This window comes from Homo sapiens, chromosome 7 (genome assembly GCF_000001405.40).
Source record: "Homo sapiens chromosome 7, GRCh38.p14 Primary Assembly".
NCBI lineage: Eukaryota > Metazoa > Chordata > Mammalia > Primates > Hominidae > Homo > Homo sapiens.
Window position 1 is genome coordinate 152,456,829 of NC_000007.14, and position 22,077 is coordinate 152,478,905.

A 22,077-nucleotide genomic window follows, 5' to 3' on the forward strand; every position below is an offset into this window, starting at 1 on the left:
AATAAATAAATATAAAAATAAATAAAATTCCTCATTCCTCCAACTTTCTCCACTTTTTTCCCCTCATCAGTGTTTCTTCCATAAATCTCTTGTATGACAATCGTCTTGGCATCTATTTTTCAAAGGACCTGAACCAACACAAGGTGGTAAAATACTAACATAAAGTTACTGATTTAGCCGGGTGTGGTGGTGCATGCCCGTGGTCCCAGCTACTCAGGAGGCTGAGGTGGGAGGATCGCTTGAGCCCAGGAGGTGGAGGTTGCAGTGATCCAAGATAGCACCACTGTGCTCCAGCCTGGGCGACAGATTGAGACCTCGTCTCAGGAAAAAAAAAAAGTTAAAATTAAAAATATAAAAAAAGATGACTGATATAGTTTGGATATTTGTCCCTGCCCAAATCTCATGTTGAAATGTAACCCCTAGGGTTGGAGGTGGGGCCTGGTGGAAGGTGTTTGGGTCTAGGGGTGGATCCCTCATGGCTTGGATAGCCAGTGAGTTCTCACAAGATCAGGTTGTTGTAAACTGTGTGACACCTCCCCCATCCCTGCTATAGCTTCTCCTTCCACCATGAGTAAAAGCTCCCTGAGGCCTCCCCAGAAGCCAGGCAGATACTGGTGTCACGCTTCCTGTACAGCCTGCAGAACTCTAAGTCAATTAAACCTCTTTTCTTTTTTTTTTTAAGACAGAGTCTCACTCTGTCACCCAGGCTGGAGTGCAGTGGTGCAACCTCAGCTCATTGCAGCCTCCGCCTCCCGGGTTAAAGCGATTCTCCTGGGATTACAGGCGCCCGCCACCATGACTGTATTTTTTTTTTTTTTGAAACAGAGTCTCCTCCTGTTGCCCAGGCTGGATTGCATTGGCATGATCTCAGCTCACTGCAACCTCTGCCTCCCAGGTTCAAGCGATTCTCCTGCCTCAGCCTCCCGAGTAGCTGGAACCACAGGCGTGCAGCACCCCGCCCAGCTAATTTTTGTATTTTTAGTAGAGACGGGGTTTCACCATGTTGGCCAGGCTGGTCTCAAACTCCTGACCTTAGATGATCTTCCCACCTCAGCTTCCCAAAGTGCTGGAGATTACAGGCGTTAGCCACTGTGCCCGGCCTAAACTTCTTTTCTTTATAAAATACCCAGTCTCAGGTATTTCTTTATAGCAAGGCAAAGAAAGGCCTAATGCGATTTCTCTCTAAGAGGTTGCCTTTTCCTAGTACTTGATTTGCCCTACCAGGTCAGCAACTCTCCTCAAATGTCAGTCAAGGAGAGACAACTTCAATTTATAGCCAACTACCACACCAATCTCTTTCATCCTAAGAACAATTCCCTATGCCACTCCTTAATGGTACACGAAGGGCCATGTCTCAACTACACCTTCCCCATCTTAACAAGAACACGAACACACACACACACACCACACACTCTCAAGTGCCATTATTCATTTTGAACCAAGTAAGCTTATCCTTTGAAGGCACTCTCCATTTCTCCCCTTAATGAGGCATAATTACTACATTAATAATAACACAAATAAAATGCTTCCCATAAGAATAGCATTTCCAGGCGGGGGCGGTGGCTCACACCTGTAATCCCAATACTTTGGGAGGCCGAGGCGGGTGGATCATCTGAGGTCAGGAGTTCAGGACCAGCCTGGCCAACATGGTGAAACCCCATCTCTACTATAAATATAAAAATTAGCCAGGCGTGGTGGACACCTGTAATCCCAGCTGCTTGGGAGGCTGGGGCAGGGGAATCGCTTGAACCTGGGAGGTGGAGATTGCAGTGAGCCGAGATCGCACCACTGTACTCCAGCCTGGGCAGCAAGAGCGAGACTCTGTCTCAAAAAAAAAAAAAAAAAAAAAAAGAATAGCATTTCCAAGCCTTATACATAAACAGTACCTCATTTGATCCTCATCATAACATCAAGGGTAGACATGACCAGTATTATTAGCCTCACTTCACAAAGGAAGAAACTGAGACTCAGACTGTTGTCTCTGGGTATCAGTTTCCAAGTCTGTCCAATGAAGGATTGAGCCCTGTGACCTCTAAGAACTCTTCCACTTCTAAAATTGTATAATTTCCATAATTTGTCTGACATCACTAAGACAGTAGTTAGTGGCAGATTAGGGACCTGAGAGAATGACTTGGTGCCAGGCTGATTCTCCCACAACGTGTTATCTTTGCTGCCAATAGCAATGGCTAACATCAGCTATGCGATATGTCCTGCACTGTGCCAGTTACTCACGAGGCATTGTTATTTATTTATTTATTTATTTATGTATTTATTTATTTATTTATTGAGATGGAGTTTCACTCTTGTTGCCCAGGCTGGAGTGCAGTGGCGCAATCTCGGCTCACTGCAACCTCCGCCTCCCAGGTTCAAGTGATTCTCCTGTCTCAGCCTCCCAAATAGCTGGGATTACAGGCGTCCATCATGCCTGGCTAATTTTGTATTTTTAGTAGAGACAGGGTTTCACCACGTTGGTCAGGCTGGTCTCCAACTCCTGACCTCAGGTGATCTGCACGCCTCAGCCTCCCAAAGTGCTGGGATTAGAGGCGTGAGCCACCGCGCCAGTCCAGAGCATTGTTGAATACCTACTCAGCATTGTCCTCCATCCCGCTGCGTAAATGTATTGAGATTTCAGTTACATACACACTTAATGGAGAAGGCGACACCACCCCTGCTCCAAGGATGTACTCTGATCGACACTTTCCATTCTTCTGGCCATAGTCATTGGGTGACTTGGGGGCTCTGAACTGGAATGCCGGAACAGAAGTACACTCTCTCCTGCTGAACATACATTAGGAAGCACTGGCTTCTGCTGCTACTGGCAGCCTCTCTGTGGCCCTAAGGGGAAGCCTCAGGATTCTTGTTTGGAACTGATAGTTTTTAGCAGCTAAAATCTGAGACGTCTATACCGTATCCTTAAAACTCTGAATAAACAACATAGGCAAAGACAGATGATGTCACTGAGACCCAGAGAGGATATTAGACCTTGCCCAGCATACATTACCTATTGGGGGCCAGTTAGGACTAAATTACAAGTCTCCAGCAACTGACCTAGGGTTCTCTTGGCCTCAGCATGTGGAAGGGGCCCCACGTGCAAAGGTTCCGGATAAAGATCAGACTGTGATCTAGCTGATGAACAGAACCCAGAAGTATGTTTGAGGGGGAGGAAGGAGGAGGCTAAGAGAGGCCTTCTTATGTTCTGCTTTTTTGCCCTGAGGGGATGACACTTAACCACTGCAGAGGCTGCAGCTGAGCCGCAGGGATGGTCACACTGAACCAGTAGTTCTTCCCTTCCCCCACTCTAAACCTCTGCCAAGCAGAGAGCCTCTGAGACTGCTCTGGAGAAAGGGGCTGCCTGCCAACTATCTGCCCACCTGGGGCCAGGGTGAGGGCAAGGCCAGTGGCTACATTCTGTGAACAGCTGGAAAAAAAGTAGGCAACACAGTGGCCTTGGGACAATGGCCTTCCCACTCTCCTTGTCACGAAATAGCAGGATTAAAAAAAAAGGGGGGGAGGATATTTATTTAATCCTTTTGTTACAAATTAAAGTTGCTAATTTGTTTTCAAAAATTGCAGGAAATAAAGTACACGAATCAAAGAAACACAAAATATTTAAAAACAAAATAGCTATTCTCCCAACTTTCTTACTTATAGGTATGTCTATACAATTGTGGCAGAATCCAAAGGGAAGGACAGTTTGGTTAGTCCATTTGGTCACAGCAAATGTACCTGTTCATTTGTTCATCAACGATTTGTTGAGCACTCACCTTGTGCCCTGAAGATACAGTTCAGAAAAAACACCGAAAAGGCCCCTGTGTCCAGCAGCTCACATCTTAATGGTGGAAGGGAGATGAAGGAGAACAGACCATAATAAGTAAGTAAACAATGATTTCAGACTGTGCCAAGAGCTCTGAGGAAAACACGGTGATATGATAGGGAGCGGGGAAAGGTACTTTAGGTACAATGTCAGAAATGCCTCCCCCAGGCCAGGCGAGGGGGTGCAAGCCTGGAATCCTAGCACTTTGGGAGGCCGAGGTGGGTGGATCACTTGAGCCCAGGAGTTTGAGACCAGCCTGGGGTTTCACCATGTGAAACCCAGACTCCACAAAAAAAAAAAAAAAGACAAAAAAAATTGGCTGGGTGCCATGGCTCATGCCTGTAATCCCAGCACTTTGGGAGGCCAAAGCAGGTAGAGCTCAGGAGTTCAAGACCAGACTGGCCAACATGGTGAAACCCCGTCTCTACTAAAAATACAAAAATTAACTGGGCACCATGGTGGGTGTTTGTAATCCCAGCTACTTGGGAGGCTGAAACAGGAGAATCACTTGAACCCAGGAGGTGGAGGTTGCAGTGAGCCGAGATCATGCCACTGCACCCCAGCCTGGGTGAAAGAGCAAGACTCTGTCTCAAAATAAATAAATTAATTAAATTAAATTAAAATTAAAAAAATTAGCCAGGTGTGGTGGTGCATACCTGTAGTCCCCACTACTTGGGAGGCTGAGGTGGGAGGATCACTTGAGCCCAGGAGGTCAAAGCTGTAGTGAGCCGAGATTGCACCACTGCACTCCAGCCTTGGAGCCTTGGCAACAGAGAGAGACCCTGTCTCAAAAAAAAAAAAAAAAAAAAAAAAAAAAAAGAAAGAAAGAGAAAGAAAGAGAAAGAAAGAAAAAAGAAAAAGAGGCCAGGTGCAGTGGCTCATGCCTGTAATCCCAACACTTTGGGAGGCTGAGGTGGGCAGATCACTTGAGGTCAGGAGTTCGAGACCAGCCTGACCAACATGGCGAAACCCTGTCTCTACTAAAAATACAAAAATTAGCTGGGTGTGGTGGCAGGCACCTGTAATCCCAGCTACTAGGGAGGCTGAGGCAGGAGAATCACTTGAACCTGGGAGGCAGAGGTTGCAGTGAGCCAAGCATGGGCGACAGAGTGAGACTCCATCTCAAAAAAAGGAAAAGGAAAGGAAAGGAGGAAGAAACGAAGAAACGAAGGAAGAAAGGAAGAAAGAAAGAAAAATAAAGAAAAGAGAGAGAAGAGGGAAGGGGAGGGGAGGGGAGCAGGGAAGAGAGGAGAGGCTGGGCCCAGTGGTTCACACCTGTAAGCTGAGGTGAAGGAGTTTGAGACCAGCCTGGCCAACATCGTGAAACCCCATCTCTACTAAAAATACAAAAATTAGCCAGGGTTGGTGGCACGTGCCTGTAATCACAGCTACTCAGGAGGCTGAGGCAGGAGAATCGCTTAAACCTGGAAGGCGGAGGTTGCAGTGAGCTGAAATCGCACCATTGCACTCCAGCCTGGGCGACAGGGCAAGACTCCGTTTCAAAAAAAAAAAAAGGAGAAAGAAACAAAGAAAGAAAGAAAAATGCCTCCCCAAGGTGACAGACGAGCTAAGCCAGGCGAAAAGTCTAAAGAAATTCAAGTGCAAAGGCCCTCTGGCAAAAAGGTCTTGGCAGAAAGGTGGTCAGTGTGCCTGCTGCACTGAAACTGCTCCTGTAAGGCAGGGATCCTATAAGGTAGGCCTTGAATGTCATGATGGGGAGCTCGGTTAGGACCCCCATGATAGGTAGGAAGGCAGCTGGAAAGAGCAGTTCTGCCATTTTTACGGATACATTCATGAGCCATGATGGGTCGTCCTGGTGGACCTCTGGAGCCTGACCTGGGTCCACGTTTGAGGTCTCCGACTTTAGTGACCCTGGGAAAGTTACTTGAGTTTCCTCATTTGAATAGCCAAGGGTTTCTCGTGTTTGATGCCAAATGCCTTGTGCGGGGATTGGCTCCAAACCTCAGCCTCATCAGTCAATTTATCCTTACGTTCAAGAGCAGCCATTTACAAAACGAGCTCAGAAAATTAAAAAAAAAATACAAACTTTAAATCGCCAGAATACTGCATAAACTAAAAGTAGGCCGGGCGCAGTGGCTCACGCCTGTAATCCCAGCACTTTGGGAGGTCGAAGCGGGCGGATCACCTGAGGTCAGGAATTCGAGACCAGCCTGACCAACATGGAGAAACCCCGTCTCTACTAAAAATGCAAAAATTAGCTGGGCATGGTGGTGGGCGCCTGTACTCCCAGCTATTTGGGAGGCTGAGGCAGGAGAATTGCTTGAACCCAGGAGACGGAGGTTGCAGTGAGCTGAGATCGCGCCACTGCACTCTAGCCTGGGCGACAGAGCGAGACTCCATCTCAAAGCAAACAAACAAATAAAAACAAAGTAAAAGTAAATTCCCCAGGCAAAGCTGATTATATTGCTGGGATAATCGACTTTGTCACTGCAGTCTCACTTGGTACTTTAAGAAACTCCATCTTGATCCTAGGTCTGGGTCGATCTGGGCGTTCCTGCTAATTTTCTGTTTTAAAAACCTAAAGCAATAAAAATGTTGATATTGACATTTATCATTTTTATCCTCGCCCTCTGCCTTGTTTTGCTGGGAGATCTGTTCCACTTGGCTGAGTTTAGGGAGGGCGGGGAAGCGGGGGAGAAACCGAGGCGCAGGGTGGAGAAAGGGAGAAGCCTTGCAGACTGAACACATGAGAAAACCTGGAGAAGGGATTCGCTGCTGCTTATTTCAGGGAAGAAAACCGAGAAGTGAAGCACAGAGGGGTCAGGTTCCGGGAGCGGCGGGAAGGTTGTAGGGGGCCCCAGGGCAGGTCCTGGAGCTCAGGCAGCCGGCACCGGGAGCCCAGCTCAGGCTGCGGGGTGCAACCGGGCAAGAGCGCTCGGGCTGCCGAAACGGGAGGAGATCAGAAAAAGGAGAGACATGGAAAAAAGGAGAGGAAGAGGAGCAACACTCAAGAGGGAAGGAAGAAGGCAGACACTGAGGAACGCCCGCAGGAACCCGCAGACAAGCAGAGAGCCGGGCTGCGCTGGGAGCGGGGCCCGCGGAAGGGGCGGGGCGCCAGGCGGCTCGAGGCCAATGGGAGGGCGGGCCGGGGCGAGGGCGGGGCACTAGGCGAAACGACGCCAATGGGAGGGCGGGCCGGGGCGAGGGCGGGGAATTAGGCGGTGCGAGGCCAATGGGAGGGCGGGCCGGGTCCTCTGGGCTGAGGCGGGGTGCCAGGCGGCACGAAGCCAGTGGGAGGGTGAGTTAGGGGCAGGGGCGGGGTCCCAAGCCAATGGAAGGGTGATACCGAGAGGGCGGGGCGCCAGGCGGCGAGAGAGCCAATGGGAGGCCGAGCCGAGGACCGCGGGCGGTGGGCCTCCCCCCGAGAGGAGGGAGACCCGGAAGGCGGTGGGGGCGGGGAGTGGAGCTGACAACCTGTCAAATCCACTTTGGGACGAACTAGGTCACGCGCTCCGCGGGTCGGGCACCCCCGCCCGCCAGGCACGGCCGCGGCTCCTTCCTCTTCCTGCCCGCGGTAGTGGGGGTGGGGCAGGCCTCGGGACACCTGCCTCCGCCGCCGGCCGCCGGCCGCCGTCCTCGCGCGGCTTCCCGGGCGGCTCTGCCCCGACCGTAGACTCCCGGCCCGCTCGCCGCGGCAGGAGCCGTGGTTCCGCGGACCTGGGCGCGCTCTCTCCCTGGCCACTGGGAGACCCCCCGCGGCCTCGCGGGGAAAACCTCGGGACTGCCCCGCGCCCCCGGCCGTCTCTGCGTCGCTCCTTCTCGCCCGCGACCGTGGACTCGTCCTCGCGAGCCTGGGTTGGCGGAAGCTGCGGGGGCCGGGGTCGCACTACTTGGCGCGGAAGGGCCGGCGGTGGGCGGAGGGATCCCCGTCCGCGGGGTGAGCCGCTGGGCGGAGCCGGGAGGAGCCGCGAGGATCCGCAGTGGGGAGCCGGGAGGAACCTGGCGCCGGCACCCACCCGCCGCGCCCACGCGTGCCGCGGTCGCTTGTTTCCCGCGGGAGCCCGGCCGCGCTCGGGGGGAGGCGCGCGCGCAGCTGGGGCTGCCTGGGTCTAGGAGCTCCGGAGCCACCGTTTTGTGCCCGTGGAGCCGCGGGGAAGGCGCACGCGCTCGGGTCTTCCCGGCGGGTCGTCCTGCACTTTCTCCCTCTCCGGTACGGACCGCGGCGTTCTGTTTCCAGGCAAAGGAAAATAAGTCAAAGACTCAGAAGGCAGCCTGAATCCAGGGCCTGGGATGCAGGGTTTGCTGGAACGCCAGCCGGTGCGATCGCGCCCCTGGGATTCCGCTTAGCCCGCGCGTCCATTTCCCTGCATGGTGGACTCAGTAAAGCCGGATCTGTCCAACGCCTGCAGCGTGGATGTGGAGGCGGACTAATCAACTAGTGCTCTGTTATTATTTCTACCCATCCCTTTTCTCCATGCTAATTTGCTTAGAACTTTAACATTGAATGGACAGCAAATGTCATGTTCTGTTTAATTATCACTCCTTGACCATTATGTTAATTTCTTTCCCTAACAAGGTGACGCATTGTTTTAAGTAACAATGACCAACTCATCTACTCTTCTTCCAAATTGTGTAAATTGAAGGGTAAAATGTGGGAAAACGCTAAATTTGAATGCTAAATTTGAACATTTCACACAACAATAATTTGAAATGCTTCTTTGCAATATTATGGCGTTTCGGAACAGATAAAAATACTTCATTTTCAGACATTTGGTCAACAAATACTTCTTGGACGTTTATATGCAAAGCAATGCATGTAACATTTTCATTACTTTGCAAGTGTGCTTATCAGTAAAAGAATTTTGTTTTAAATTCTAGCCTTCGTTTAAATGTATTTTAGTTACCACATTGGGAAGAAAATAAAATATTACTATGTACGGAATGTACAGACGTATGTTTTTTTATTTACAAAAAATAGAAAGAAAATATGGCCGGGTGCTGTGGGTCACGCATGTAATCCCAGCACTTTGGGAGGCCGAGGCAGGCGGATCACCTGAGGTCAGGAGTTGGAAACTATCCTGACCAATATGGTGAAACCCACTCTCTACTAAAAGTACAAAAATGAGCCTGGGCGTGGTGGCGGGTGCCTGCAGTCCCAGCTGCTTGGGAGGCTGAGACGGGAAAATTTCTTGAACCCGGGAGGCGGAGGTTGCAGTGATTGTGCCACTGCACTCCAGCCTGGGCAACAGAGCGAGACTCCGTCTCAAAAAAAAAAAATCTATATCTATATATATATATAGATATATAAAGATATAGATATATAGATATCTATATCTAGGTCTATATAAGTATATATCTATAGATATCTATATATAGGTCTATATAGATATATGTATAGATATATATAGATACCTATATATCTAGATAAATGTATAGATATATAGATCTATAGAGATATCTATAGATCTATATAGATGTATGTATAGATATATAGATCTATGGAGATCTCTATAGATCTATATAGATATATGTATAGATATATAGATATCTATATATAGATATATAGGTCTATATATAGATATCTATATATAGATATATATGTTCCTTAAATTCAACATTAAGAATGAGCTTATTCATAATTAGCTGTAGTATTACACTTGAACTACCATATTTATTACATTTATAAATACTATTTATAAATAGTAATATAAATAGTAAATGCTATTAACATTTAGTAAATGCTATTAAGGTAGGAATAGAGGTTCCAATCTTTTAAATAGAAATTAAATACAAACAAAGCAACAAAAAGAGACCTTTCATATATGGTTATTGGCTTGTCATTGTAGCCAGTTCCTTACTGCCAGCTAATTTTCCAAAGGGAATCGTTGCTTTCTGTTTTGACCAATTGGCAACCTCAACAGTGCTAGAAACTCTTAGCCCTCATTGGGTATATAAATATATATCTTATTTCAAATGTTTTGTTATCTATTCCTACTGAAGGTTGTTTTCTTCTCTCTTTTTTTTTTGAGACGGAGTCTCACTCTGTCACCAGGGCTGGAGTGCAGTGGCGCGATCTCGGTTCACTGCAACCTCTGCCACCGGGGTTCAAGCGATTCTCCTGCCTCAGCCTTCTGAGTAGCTGGGATTACAGGCGCCCGCCACTATGCCCAGCTAATTTTTTGTATTTTTAGTAGAGATGGGGTTTCACCATGTTGGCCAGGCGGACTCAAACTACTGACCTCGTTATTCACCCGGCGCGGCCTCCCAAAGTGCTGGGATTATAGTCATGAGCCCGGCCCTCTTTTTTTTTTTCGTTTTTTTTTTTTTTTTGTGCTCATCATTTTGATCTTAATACCCACTAAAAAGATAATAAAACCACAAGTGTTTTTCTTCAGATCACGAGATTGTCAATAATAGAAAGTCAACACTGTCAAATCATGAGAATGAATTGCATATCATTGTACAAAAATTGAATACTGGAATTTAGCTCCTAGATCTATTATATTACCATAATAAGAAAAACTAAAGAATTAAAAAATCTAAACAAAATGCAATCCTAAATGATATTGCGGCCAGGCACAGTGGTTCACACCTGTAATTCAGCATTTTCGGAGGCCAGAGCAGATGGTGGCTTGAGCCCAGGAGTTGGAGACTAGCCTAGGGAACATGGCAAAACCTCATCTCTACAGAAAGGAAAAAAGGCAAAACCTCATCTATACAAAAAATTAGCTGGGCGTAGTGGCACATAGCTGTAGACCTAGCTACTCAAGAGGCAGAGGCAGGAGGATTGCGTGAGAACGGGATGTCGAGACTGCAGTGAGCCATAATGGCGCCACTGCACCCCAGCCTGGGCAACAGAGCAAGACCCTGTCTCGAGACAAGTTCGTCTTGCTGCATTTCAGTATTTTTAACTCCTTTAATGTAGTGTAGACAATTTTGATATGATGTGTCACATCTTTTTTTAACGTCTAATTTCTTTTTTTTTTTTTTTGAAACGGAGTTTCACTCTTGTTGCCCAGGCTGGAGTGCAGTGGCGTGATCTCTGCTCACTGCAACCTCTGCCTCCCGGGTTCAAGCAGTTCTCCTGTTTCAGCCTCCCAGGTAGCTGGGGCTACAGGTGCCTGCCACCATGCCCAGCTAATTTTTGTGTTTTTGGTAGAGACGGGGTTTCACCTTGTTGGTCAGGCTGGTCTCGAACTCCTGACCTCAGGTGATCCACCCACCTCGGCCTCCCAAAGTGTTGGGATTATAGGTGTGAGGAACCTGGCCTTAACGTCTAATTTCAGAAGAAAGCTAATTCTCCTTTTTTTTGGGGGGGGGGGACAGAGTCTCGCTCTGTCACCCAGGCTGGAGTGCAGTGGCGCGATCTCGGCTCACTGCAAGCTCCGCCTCCCGGGTTCACTCCATTCTCCTGCCTCAGCCTCTCCGAGTAGCTGGGACTACAGGCGCCCACCACCACGCCCGGCTAATCTTTTTGTATTTTTAGTAGAGACGGGGTTTCACCGTGGTCTCGATCTCCTGACCTCATGATCCGCCCGCCTCGGCATCCCAAAGTGCTGGGATTACAAGCATGAGCCACCGCGCCCAGCCGAAGAAATCTACTTCTTTCCGTTCCTCTTAAAGATGAAAATTAGAAACATTCTGCCTTAATTATTTTTATTTTTTTGAGACAGTCTTGCTCTGTCGCCAGGCTGGAGTGCAGTGGCATGATCTCAGCTCACGGCAACCTCCGCCTCCTGGATTCAAGCAGTTCTCCTGCCTCAGCCTCCCAAGTAGCTGAGACTACAGGCTCGCGCCACCACACCCATCTAATTTTTGTATTTTTAGTAGAGACAGGGTTTCACCATGTTGGCCAGGATGGTCTTGATCTCTTGACCTCGTGATCCACCCGCCTCGGCCTCCCAAAGTGCTGGGATTACAGGCGTGAGCCACCGCGCCCAGCCTTTGCCTTAATTATTTCTTCTGTTATATCCCCTGCTAGCAAACTTTTGGAATAGGTTTGGGAAATTAATTACCTTTATAAATGGAGTTACTATTTTGCCCAAACATTTCATGTATAATTCTGTAAGGATGATTTTTATAATTTCCTACCCAAATGTCTTGGCACAGTTTTATTTCTCAATTGGTAGTGAATTTCCTAGACTAGGAGGAAAAAGCAGTAAGTCTTCTTACTGCTTCTGGGGAGAAGGGTGGGTGGCTTTACCTTGGTAAGGACATTCTCAGGGCAGCTCAGAATGCTGAGGTTGAGGACTCTGTGGTTGGAAATTCAGCTCAAACCCAAAGGGGTGGAATATTTTGTGAATGGGAAACAAATACACCTTGAGTTGGAAGTTACAAATCAGTGGTCACAGATATGTATTGTTTGTCTCTACAATGTCTAGAAATTTTAACATTAGTTTCCAAGATTTAAAAAATAAGAGATTTCAGGGCCGGGCATGGTGGCTCACACCTGTAATCCCAGCACTTTGGGAGGCCAAGGCGGGTGGATCACTTCAGGTCAGGAGTTCGAGACCAGCCTGGCCAACGTGGTGAAACCCCATCTCTACTAAAAATACAAAAAATTAGCTGGGTGTGGTTGCAGGCGCCTGTAATCCCAGCTACTTGAGAGGCTGAGGCAGGAGAATTACTTGAACCCGGGTGGTGGAGGTTGCGGTGGAGCTGTATCTTACCACTGCATTCCAGCCTGGGCGACAGAGCAAGACTCCATCTCAAAATAAATAAATAAATAAATAAAATAAAATAAAAAATAAGAGATTTCAGATAAGAATACAGAATTGTAACTTCTTTTGGAAATCAGTCAGATTTGGCCATTTCTTGCACGATTACCTGCGGTATTGCTGACTAGCTGCTGCCCTCTTTACACAGGGTGTACACTCCATATATCAGGCTCAGTACAGTCATTTATCTTCACCACCTGGCCACTGCAGGGATCTGTGTTTGGAATACTGATATGGTTTGGCTCTGTCCCCACCCTCCTAAATCTCAACTTGAATTGTAACTCCCAGAATTCCCATGTGTTGTGGGAAGGACCCAGAGGGAGGTAATTGAATCATGGGGGCCAGTCTTTCCCGTGCTACTCTTGTGGTAGTGAATACATCTCATGAGATCTGATGGGTTTATCAGGGGTTTCTGCTTTTGCTTCGTCCTCATTTTTTCTTGCTGCCGCCATGTGCCTTTTGCCTCCCGCCGTGATTCTGAGGCTTCCCCAGCCATGTGGAACTGTAAGTCCAATTAAACCTCTTTCTGTTCCTAGTTTCTGGTATGTCTTTATCAGCAGTGTGAAAACAAACTAATAAATCCCAGCACTCTGGGAGGCCGAGGTGGGTGGATCACCTGAGGTCTGGAATTCGAGACCAGCCTGACCAACATGGAGAAACCCCGTCCCTACTAAAAAAAATACAAAATTAGCTGGGTGTGGTGGCACAAGCCTGTAATCCCAGCTACTCAGGAGGCTGAGGCAGGAGAATGGCTTGAACCTGGGAGGTGGAGTTTGCATTGAGCCGAGATCGTGCCATTGCACTCCACCCTGGGGCAACAAGAGCGAAACTCCATCTCAAAAAAAAAAAAAAAAAAGAAAAAAAAGAAAAGAAAGAAAGAAAACAAACTGATAAAGTAAATCGGTACCAGTAGAGTGGGGCGTTGCTGAAAAGATACCCAAAAATGTGGAAGGGACTTTGGAATTGGGTAACAGGCAGAGGTTGGAACCGTTTGGAGGGCTCAGAAGAAAACAGGAAAATGTGGGAAAGTTTGGAACCTCCTAGAGACTTGATGAATGGCTTTAAAAAAATGCTGATAGTGATATGAACAATAAGGTCCAGGCTGAAGTGGTCCCATAGGGAGATAAGGAGCTTGTTGGAAACTGGAGCAAAGGTGATTCTTGTTATGTTTTAGCAAGGAGACTAACAGCATTTTGCTCTGTGCTAGAGATGTGTGGAATTTTGAACTTGAGAGAGATGATTTAGGGTATCCGGCAGAAGAATTTTCTAAGCAGCAAAACATTCAAAAGGTGACTTGAGTGCTGTTAAAAGCATTCAGTTTTTAAAGGGAAACAGAGGCCAGGCACAGTGGCTCATGGTTGTAATCCTAACACTTTGGGAGGTCGAGGTGGACATATCACCTGAGGTCAGGAGTTTGGGACCAGCCTGGCCAACATAGTGAAATCGTGTCTCTACTAAAAAATGCAAAAATTCGCTGGGTGTGGCAGCGTGCAACTGTAATCCCAGCTACTCAGCAGGCTGAGGCAAGAGAATTGCTTGAACTGGGGAGGCAGAGATTGCAGTGAGCTGAGATTGCAACATTGCACTCCAGCCTGGGCAACAAGAGTGAAACTCCGTCTCAAAAAACAAAAAACAAAAAACAGGAAAACAGAACATAAAAGCTCAGAAAATTTGCAGCCTCTGATGCAGTAGAAAAGAAAAACCCATTTTTTGAGGAGAAATTCAAGCTGGCTGTAGAAATTTGCATAAGTCGCAAGGAGCCTAATGATAATCCCCAACACTATGGGGAAAATGTCTCCAGTCCATGTCAGAGACCTTCACAGCAGCCCCTCCCATCACAGGCCCAGAGGCCCAGGAGGAAAAAGTGGTATAATGGGCCAGGCCCAGGGTCCCCATGCTGTGTGCAGCCTAGGGACTTGTTGCCCCATGTCCCAGCCGCTCCAGCCGTGGCTGAAAGGGACCACTGTAGAGCTCGGGCTGTGGCTTCAGAGGGTGGAAGCCCCAAGCCTTGGCAGCTTCCATGTGATGTTGAGCCTGCACATGCACAGAAGTCAAAAATTGAGGTTTGGGAACCTCTGCCTAGATATCAGAAGATGTATGGAAATGCCTAGATGCCCAGGCAAAAGTTTGCTGCAGGGGCGGAGCCCTCACAGAGAACCTCTGTTAGGGCAGTGCAGAAGGGAAACATGGGGTCGAAGCCCCCAGACAGAGTCTCTACTAGGGCACTGCCTAGTGGAGCTGTGAGAGGAGGGCCACCATCCTCTAGACCGCAGAATGGTAGATCCACGGACAGCTTGCACCATGTGCCTAGGAAAGCCACAGACACTCAACACAAACTTATGAAAGCAGCCAGGAGGGAGGCTATAGCCTGCAAAGCCACAGTGACAGAGCTGCCCAAGACCATGGGCACCCACTTCTTGCATCAGCATGACCTGGATGTGAGACCTGGAATCAAAGGAGATCATTTTGAAGCTCTAAAATTCGACTGTCCTTGGGGCCGGGTGTGGTGGCTCATGCCTGTAATCCCAGCACTTTGGGAGGCCGAGTCAGGTGGATCACAAGGTCAGGAGTTTTAGACCAGCCTGGCCAACATGGTGAAACCCCATCTCTACTAAAAATAGCTACAAAAATTAGCCAGGCATGGTGGCATGGCCCTGTAATTCCAGGTACTTGGGAGGCTGAGGCAGGGGAATTGCTTGAACATGGGAGGCAGAGGTTGCAGTGAGCCGAGATTGCGCCACTGCACTCCAGCCTGGGCAACAGAGCAAGACTCTAAAATAAATAAAATAAAATAAAATAAAACAAAATAAAATAAAATAAAATTTGACTGCCCTACTGGATTTCAGACTTGCATGGGCCCTGTAACCCCTTTGTTTGGCCAATTTCTCCCATTTGGAATAGCTGTCTTTACCCAGTACCTGTACCCCCATTGTATCTAGGAAGTAACTAGCTTGCTTCTGATTTTACAGGCTCATAGGCAGAACGGACTTACCTTGTCTCAGATGAGACTTTGGACTGTGGATTTTTGGGACTTTGGGGAACTGTTGTGAAGGCATGATTGGTTTCGAAATGTGAGGACAAGAGATTTGGAGGTGTCAGGGGCAGAATGATGTGGTTTGGCTGTGTCCCCACCCAAATCTCAACTTGAATTATATCTCCCAGAATTCCCACATGTTGTGGGAGGAATCCAGAGGGAGGAAATAGAATCATGGAGGCCAGTCTTTCCTGTGTTATTCTTGTGGTAGTGAATAAGTCTCACGAGATCTAATGGGCTTATCAGGAGTTTCCACATTTGCCTCCTCCTCATTTTTCTCTTGTTGCCACTATGTAAGAAGTGCCTTTCTCCTCCCGCCTTGATTCTGAGGCCTCCCCAGCCATATGGAACTGTAAGTCCAATTAAACCTCTTTTTTGGCTGGGTGCGGTGGCTCACATCTGTAATCCCAGCACTTTGGGAGGCCAAGGCAGGTGGATCACGAGGTCAGGAGATCGAGACCATCCTGGCTAACATGGTGAAACACCATCTCTACTAAAAATACAAAACAATTAGCTGGGCGTGGTGGCGGGCACCTGTAGTCCCAGCTACTCGGTAGGCTAAGGCAGGAGAATTGCCTGAACCCAGGAGGCGGAGCTCTCAGTGAGCCGAGATCATGCCACTGCACTCCAGCCTGGGCAACAGAGCGAGACTCTGTCTCAAAAAAACAAAAACAAAACTTTTTGTTCCCAGTTTTGAGTATGTCTTTACCAGCAGTGTGTAAATGAACTATAATACAAATACTCTAGGTCATATAAATTGTTTTTTCTTTTTGAGACAGGGTCTTGTTCTGTCACCCAAACTGGAGTGCGGTGGCATGATCTCAACTCACTATAGCTTCCACCTCCTGGGCTCAAGCAGTCCTCCCAACTCAGCCTCCTGAATGGCTGGGACCACAGGCCCACATCACAATGCCTGGGTAATTTTTGTACTTTTAGTAGAGATGGGGTTTCAACATGTTGCTCAGGCTGGTCTCAAACTCCTGGGCTCCAAGCAATCTATCCACCTTGGCCTCCCAAAGTGCTAGGATTCCAGGTGTGAGCCACTGTGATCTTAGGATTTTGTTCAAGGTAAATACAGTGAACTAGTAAATAGAAAGTTATTAAGATCATATATGGCAACTGGATGCATCCCATTATTTTGTTTACCAGTCCCCAGGCACAGGGAATGGTCAGGCAATATTTAGGTGAAAATGTTAATAAAAAATGGAAATAATGGCTGAGCACGGTGGCTCACACCTGTAATCTCAGCACTTTGGGAGGCTGAAGCGGGCGGATCATTTGAGGTCAGGAGTTCGAGACCAGCTTGACCAACATGGTGAAACCTTGTCTCCACTAAAAATACAAAAAAGTTATCTGGCTGTGGTGATGCGCACCTGTAATCCCAGCTTCTTGAGAGGCTGAGGCAGGAGAATCCCTTGACCCTGAGAGGCAGAGGTTGCAGTGAGCCAAGATCACGCCAGTGCACTCCAGCCTAGGAGACAGAGCCAGACACTGTCTCAAAAAAAAAAAAAAAAAAAAAAAAAAAGAAAGAAAAGAAAAAAAAAGAAAATAATGTTTTTGTGCTTTCCTTTCCATGTAGAAAGTCCTTCCCCTGGGCCGTGCATGATGGTGTGCACCTGTAGTCCTAGGTACTCTGGAGGCTGAGATGGAAGGATCGTTTGAGTCTAGGAGTTCAAGGCTGTAGTGCATTATGATCACACCTATGAAGTAGCCACTGCACTCCAGCCTGGGTAATGTAGCAAGACCTCATCTCTAAATAATTATAATAGTGAATAATAATAATGACGACAGTCCTTGCCTTGATTCAAATGAACATCACTGGAAATCTTGACTAATTAGAACCTAGCAATAGTAGTCAACTGTGAAAGATTATACTAGAAGAAGAAATTCCCCAAAGTACTACAGAACTAATAACGATGATGACAATAACAATGTCTTGACATTGAGCAGAGTGCTGGACATTGTTCTAAATAATTTATATACACTATGTCGTCATATTTTAGTTTCCTCATTGTGCACATGTACCCTAAAACTTAAAGTATAATAATAAAAAAAAGAAACACACACAAATAAATAAATGAACTCTACACAGCAAAAAAAAAAAAATTAAATATTTTAGTTTCCTATTTGCTACCTCATCTTCCTTTACTTTTTTTTCCTTTTCTTTCTTCTTCTTTTTTTTTTTTTTTTTTTGAGACGGAGTCTGACTCTGTTGCCCAGGATGGAGTGCAGTGGCGCAATCTCAGCTCACTGCAACCTCTGCCTCCTGGGGTCAAGTGATTCTTCTGCCTCATCCTCCCTAGGAGCTGGGAATATAGGCACGTGCCACTGGGCCCAGCTAATGTTTGTATTTTAGTAGAGATGGGGTTTCACCATGTTGGCCTGGCTGGTCTTGAACTCCTGGGCTCAGGTGATCCACCTGCCTTGGCCTCCCAAAGTGCTGGGATTACAGGCTTGAGCCACTGTGCCTGGCCTGGTTTTGTTGGGTTTTGATGAGGAAGTAGATGGAGGAGGGGAGGTGGTAGCTGTGTCTAGGTCTGTCTCCATCTATTGGCCCTTAGTGCTCTCGTATTTCTCTCTCTTTTGAGTTTCTCATTTTGCTCCTACCACATTTGCTGCCTCAGTCTTGGCTCATTCTCTCTCTCCTCTGCCCTTGTCAGGGAATATTTCTTACTGACATGAGAAGTCAGATGCCAGTAGAAAAAGACACACCAACCATGACAGAAAAGACCTGAAAGAGGATATGCTTGGGGTACAATTAGAGAAAGGCAGGAAAGAACAAACATTCAGTCACTTTTTAGGACCAGTAAGGGCCAAAGGTTAGCATAATCCCGAAGGTACAGCAAACTACAGCATTCATCTTGTGCCTGGGTTGGAGGGTTCAAGGCAGCTGAAGAAATGGAAGATGAGGCCGGGTGCTATGGCTCACGCCTGTAATGCCAACACTTTGGGAGCCCGAGGCAACTGGTTCACCTGAGGTCACGGGTTCGAGACAAGCGTGGCCAACATGGCGAAACCCCGTCTCTACTAAAAATACAAAAATCAGCCGGGTGTCGTGGTGGACACCTGTAATCCCAGCTACTCAGGAGGCTGAGGCAGGAGGAGTGCTTGTACCCAGGAGGCGGAGGTTGCAGTGAGGGAGATCACGCCACTGCACTCTAGACTGTGCCACAGGGCGAGACTCCATCTCTAAAACAAATAAACAAACAACAAAAAAACCAAAAAACCAACGAAGCCCAATGAGAACAGCAGCATGCTGGAAAAGATTCCAGGTTTGTTCAGATGGGTTGTGTATTATGATGATTGTGAGTAGTCTGAAGAAATAGAACAATTCTGTGAAGTTACATTTAGTTGGGATCTACATGCATTGATAGAGAAATGTTTAAATAAAATGTATATCTTCGGCCGGGCGCGGTGGCTCACGCCTGTAATCCCAGCACTTTGGGAGGCCAAGGAGGGTGGATCACGAGGTCAGAAGTTCGAGACCAGCCTAGCCAACATGGTGAAACCCTGTCTCCACTAAAAATACAAAAAGTTAGCTGGGCATGTTGGCAGGCGTATGTAATCCCAGCTACTCGGGAGGTTGAGGCAGGAGAATCGCTTGAACCTGGGAGGTGAAGGCTGCAGTGAGCTGAGACCGTGCCACTACAATCCAGCCTGGGCAACAGAGCGGGCCTCCGTCTTAAAAAAAAAAAAAAAAAAAGTGTATCTTCATATAACGGAATGCTTATGAGAAGGGTTTAATAAAATGGCCTAATACCATATGTTAGATGAACAGAGAACCATGAAATAAAATTATGTATAAAAACACATTTAGGAGTTAAAAGGTGGTGTTAGTTTTTTTGTTTTTTTTTCTGAGACTGAGTTTCACTCTTGTTGCCCAGGCTGGAGTGCAATGGCGTGATGTTGGCTCATTGCAACCTCCACCTCCCGGGTTCAAGTGAGTCTCCTATCTCAGCCTCCTGAGTAACTGGGATTACAGGCGTGTGCCACCATGCCCAGCTAATTTTTGTATTTTTGGTAGAGATGGGGTTTCACCATGTTGGCCAGGCTGGTCCCAAACTCCTGACCTCAGGTGATCTGCCTGCCTCGGCCTCCCAAAGTGCTGGGATTACAGGCGTGAGCCACCGTGCCCAGCTGGTGTTAGTTTTTTAATTGATTAAAATACATTTAAAAGGATAGAATAAAAGGGCAGATGAAAATATGGCAAAATCATAGCAGTTATGGATTTCCAAAAATTTTTCTAGTGACATGTTGTACATACACAATCAGGGAAGAAACTAAAAATCAAACTGAGCATGTGCTTATTGAGTTTTAGTTCCATAAAAGAAACAAAAAAATTATACTACAGCTACAGATGTTACTGTCTCCAGATTTCAAAAATGTTTTCCAACTATCTCAAGGGAACTGGGCAAGAGAGAACAGATGGCTGAGCATAACCTACTCCCAATGCTAGAGAAGTAAATCAAAGTGCATTTCATACTGATGCTACCTCAGTAATACCGGCTTTGAGCAGAGAGGGATGGTGTGAATTATTTTCCCCCACTGTAACCCTTAAAGCCCGCCCGTCCCCCAGCTTTGTTTGAGGAAGGATAGTCTATGACGGATGGATAGCATCTAAGAAGGGATGTTAGTTTGCTAGGGCTGCGGTAACAAAGTAGCACAGACTGGGTGGTAGCAGAAATGTACTTTCTCTTAGCTCCAGAGGCCTGAAGTCCAATATCAAGGCATTAGCAGGGTTGGCCTCTCCTGAGGGCGTCTCAGCTTGTAGATGGTGTCTTTTTTTGTGTCTTCACATGGTTTTCCTTATGTGTGTGTCTGTGTCCTAATCTCCTCTTGTTATAAGGACACCAGTCATATTGAATCAGGGCCCACACTGATAACTTTTTTTTTTCAGACAGGGTCTGGCTCTATCACCCAGGCTGGAGTGCAGTGGCTCCATCATGGCTCACTGCAGCCTCAACCTCTTGAGCTCAAGCAATCCTCCTGCTTCATTCAGCCTCTCAAATAGCTGGGACTACAGAAGTGTGCCACAATGCCTGGCTAATTAAAAAAAAATTTTTTTTTTGGCCAGGGGCGGTGGCTCATGCCTGTAATCCAGCACTTTGGGAGACTGAGGCAGGCGGATCACCTGAGGTTAGGAGTTCTAGACCAGCCTGATCAACATGGAGAAACCCCGTCTCTACTAAAAATAAATACACAAAATTAGCCGGGTGTGGTGGCACATGCCTGTAATCCCAGCTACTCGGGAGGGTGAGGCAGGAGAATCTCTTGAACCTGGGAGGTGGAGGTTGTGGTGAGCCGACATTGCACCATTGCACTCCAGCCTGGGCAACAAGAGCGAAACTCCATCTCAAAAAAAAAAAATTTTTTTTTTTTTGGCCAGGCATGGTGACTCACACCTATAATCCCAGCACTTTGGGAGTCCGAAGCAGGCGGATCACCCAAGATCAGGAGTTCGAGACCAGCTTGGCCAACATGGCAAAACGCCTTCTCTACTAAAAATACAAAAATTAGCCAGGCATGATGGTGGGCGCTTGTCAACCCAGCTACTCAGGAGAATCCCTTGACCCTGGAAGGCAGAGCTGAGATCGTGCCACTGCACTGCAGCCTGGGCGACAGAGCAAGACTCCATCTCAAAAAAATAAAAAAAAAAAAAAAGAAAAAGACAAGTATAACAACCAAACAAATTCCAAACTGCATTGACTTTTTCTACAGCAAGGAAATTTTGATTTGAACCAAAGAATCCTTCATTTCATTTTGTAGCAGGCTCCAGTCCCTTTTGGGAAAGGTAAGGGTATATATAATGAATAAATAAATAATATCACTGTATTTTGCATTGGCAGAAAAAAAATCTGTATGTGCAAGCAACAATCTTTTCCTTGTTTCAATATTAAATTGCTTACTTGGACTAAAGTAAACCTTTAGAAGTATAAAACTGCTTGGTATTCGTATCAGTTAGCATAAATTCAAAGGAAATCAATCAGCATAACCAAATGACATTGAGTCAATGTTGACTTACTCTTCTACTGGACTTCTTTTTTTTTTTGAGACAGGGTCTTGCTCTGTCACCCAGGCTGGAGTGTAGGAATGATCCCCACTTACTGCAACCTCCACCCCCCAGCTCAAGTGATCTCCCACCTCAACCTCCCAAGTAACTGGGACCACCCCGCCATCATACCCAGCTAATTTTTTTTTTTTTTGAGACAGAGTCTTGCTTTGTCCCCCAGGCTGGAGTGCAGTGGCCCAATCTTGGATCACTGCAACCTCTGCCTCCCGGGTTCAAGCGATTCTTCTGTCTCAGCCTCCCGAGTAGCTGGGATTACAGGCACAGGCTGCCACGCCTGGCTAATTTTTCTTTTTTTTCAGGGGAGGTGGGGGGACAGGGTTTCACTGTTGTTGCCCAGGCAGGAATGCAATGGCGTGATCTCGGCTCACCACAATCTCCGCCTTCCAGGTTCAAGCAATTCTCCTGCCTCAGCCTCCTGAGTAGCGTGGATTATAGGCATGCACCACCACGCCCAGCTAATTTTGTATTTTTAGTAGAGACA

The 22,077-nt window shown here is 47.1% G+C and overlaps 1 long non-coding RNA gene across 1 annotated transcript, besides 4 other annotated features; it reads left to right on the forward strand.

Annotated features, from left to right (window-relative positions):
* Window positions 6,928-7,947: a silencer, noted in NCBI's record as "silent region_18834". NCBI's record gives its function as "represses an Ori minimal core promoter by ATAC-STARR-seq in GM12878 lymphoblastoid cells {active_cell/tissue: GM12878}" and the evidence as "EXISTENCE:reporter gene assay evidence [ECO:0000049][PMID:35858748]".
* Window positions 6,928-8,221: a biological region, named in NCBI's record as "H3K27ac hESC enhancers GRCh37_chr7:152161133-152161634 and GRCh37_chr7:152161635-152162134".
* Window positions 7,220-7,721: an enhancer, noted in NCBI's record as "H3K27ac hESC enhancer chr7:152161133-152161634 (GRCh37/hg19 assembly coordinates)". NCBI's record gives its function as "activates a minimal SCP1, AML or CMV promoter by ChIP-STARR-seq in naive H9 embryonic stem cells {active_cell/tissue: H9 hESC(naive)}" and the evidence as "EXISTENCE:reporter gene assay evidence [ECO:0000049][PMID:30033119]".
* Window positions 7,296-8,717, forward strand: LINC01003 (long intergenic non-protein coding RNA 1003). The gene has a single exon (NR_027387.1). It is a non-coding gene; the product is annotated as a long intergenic non-protein coding RNA 1003 (long non-coding RNA).
* Window positions 7,722-8,221: an enhancer, noted in NCBI's record as "H3K27ac hESC enhancer chr7:152161635-152162134 (GRCh37/hg19 assembly coordinates)". NCBI's record gives its function as "activates a minimal SCP1, AML or CMV promoter by ChIP-STARR-seq in naive H9 embryonic stem cells {active_cell/tissue: H9 hESC(naive)}" and the evidence as "EXISTENCE:reporter gene assay evidence [ECO:0000049][PMID:30033119]".
* Window positions 8,718-22,077: the final 13,360 nt, after the last annotated feature.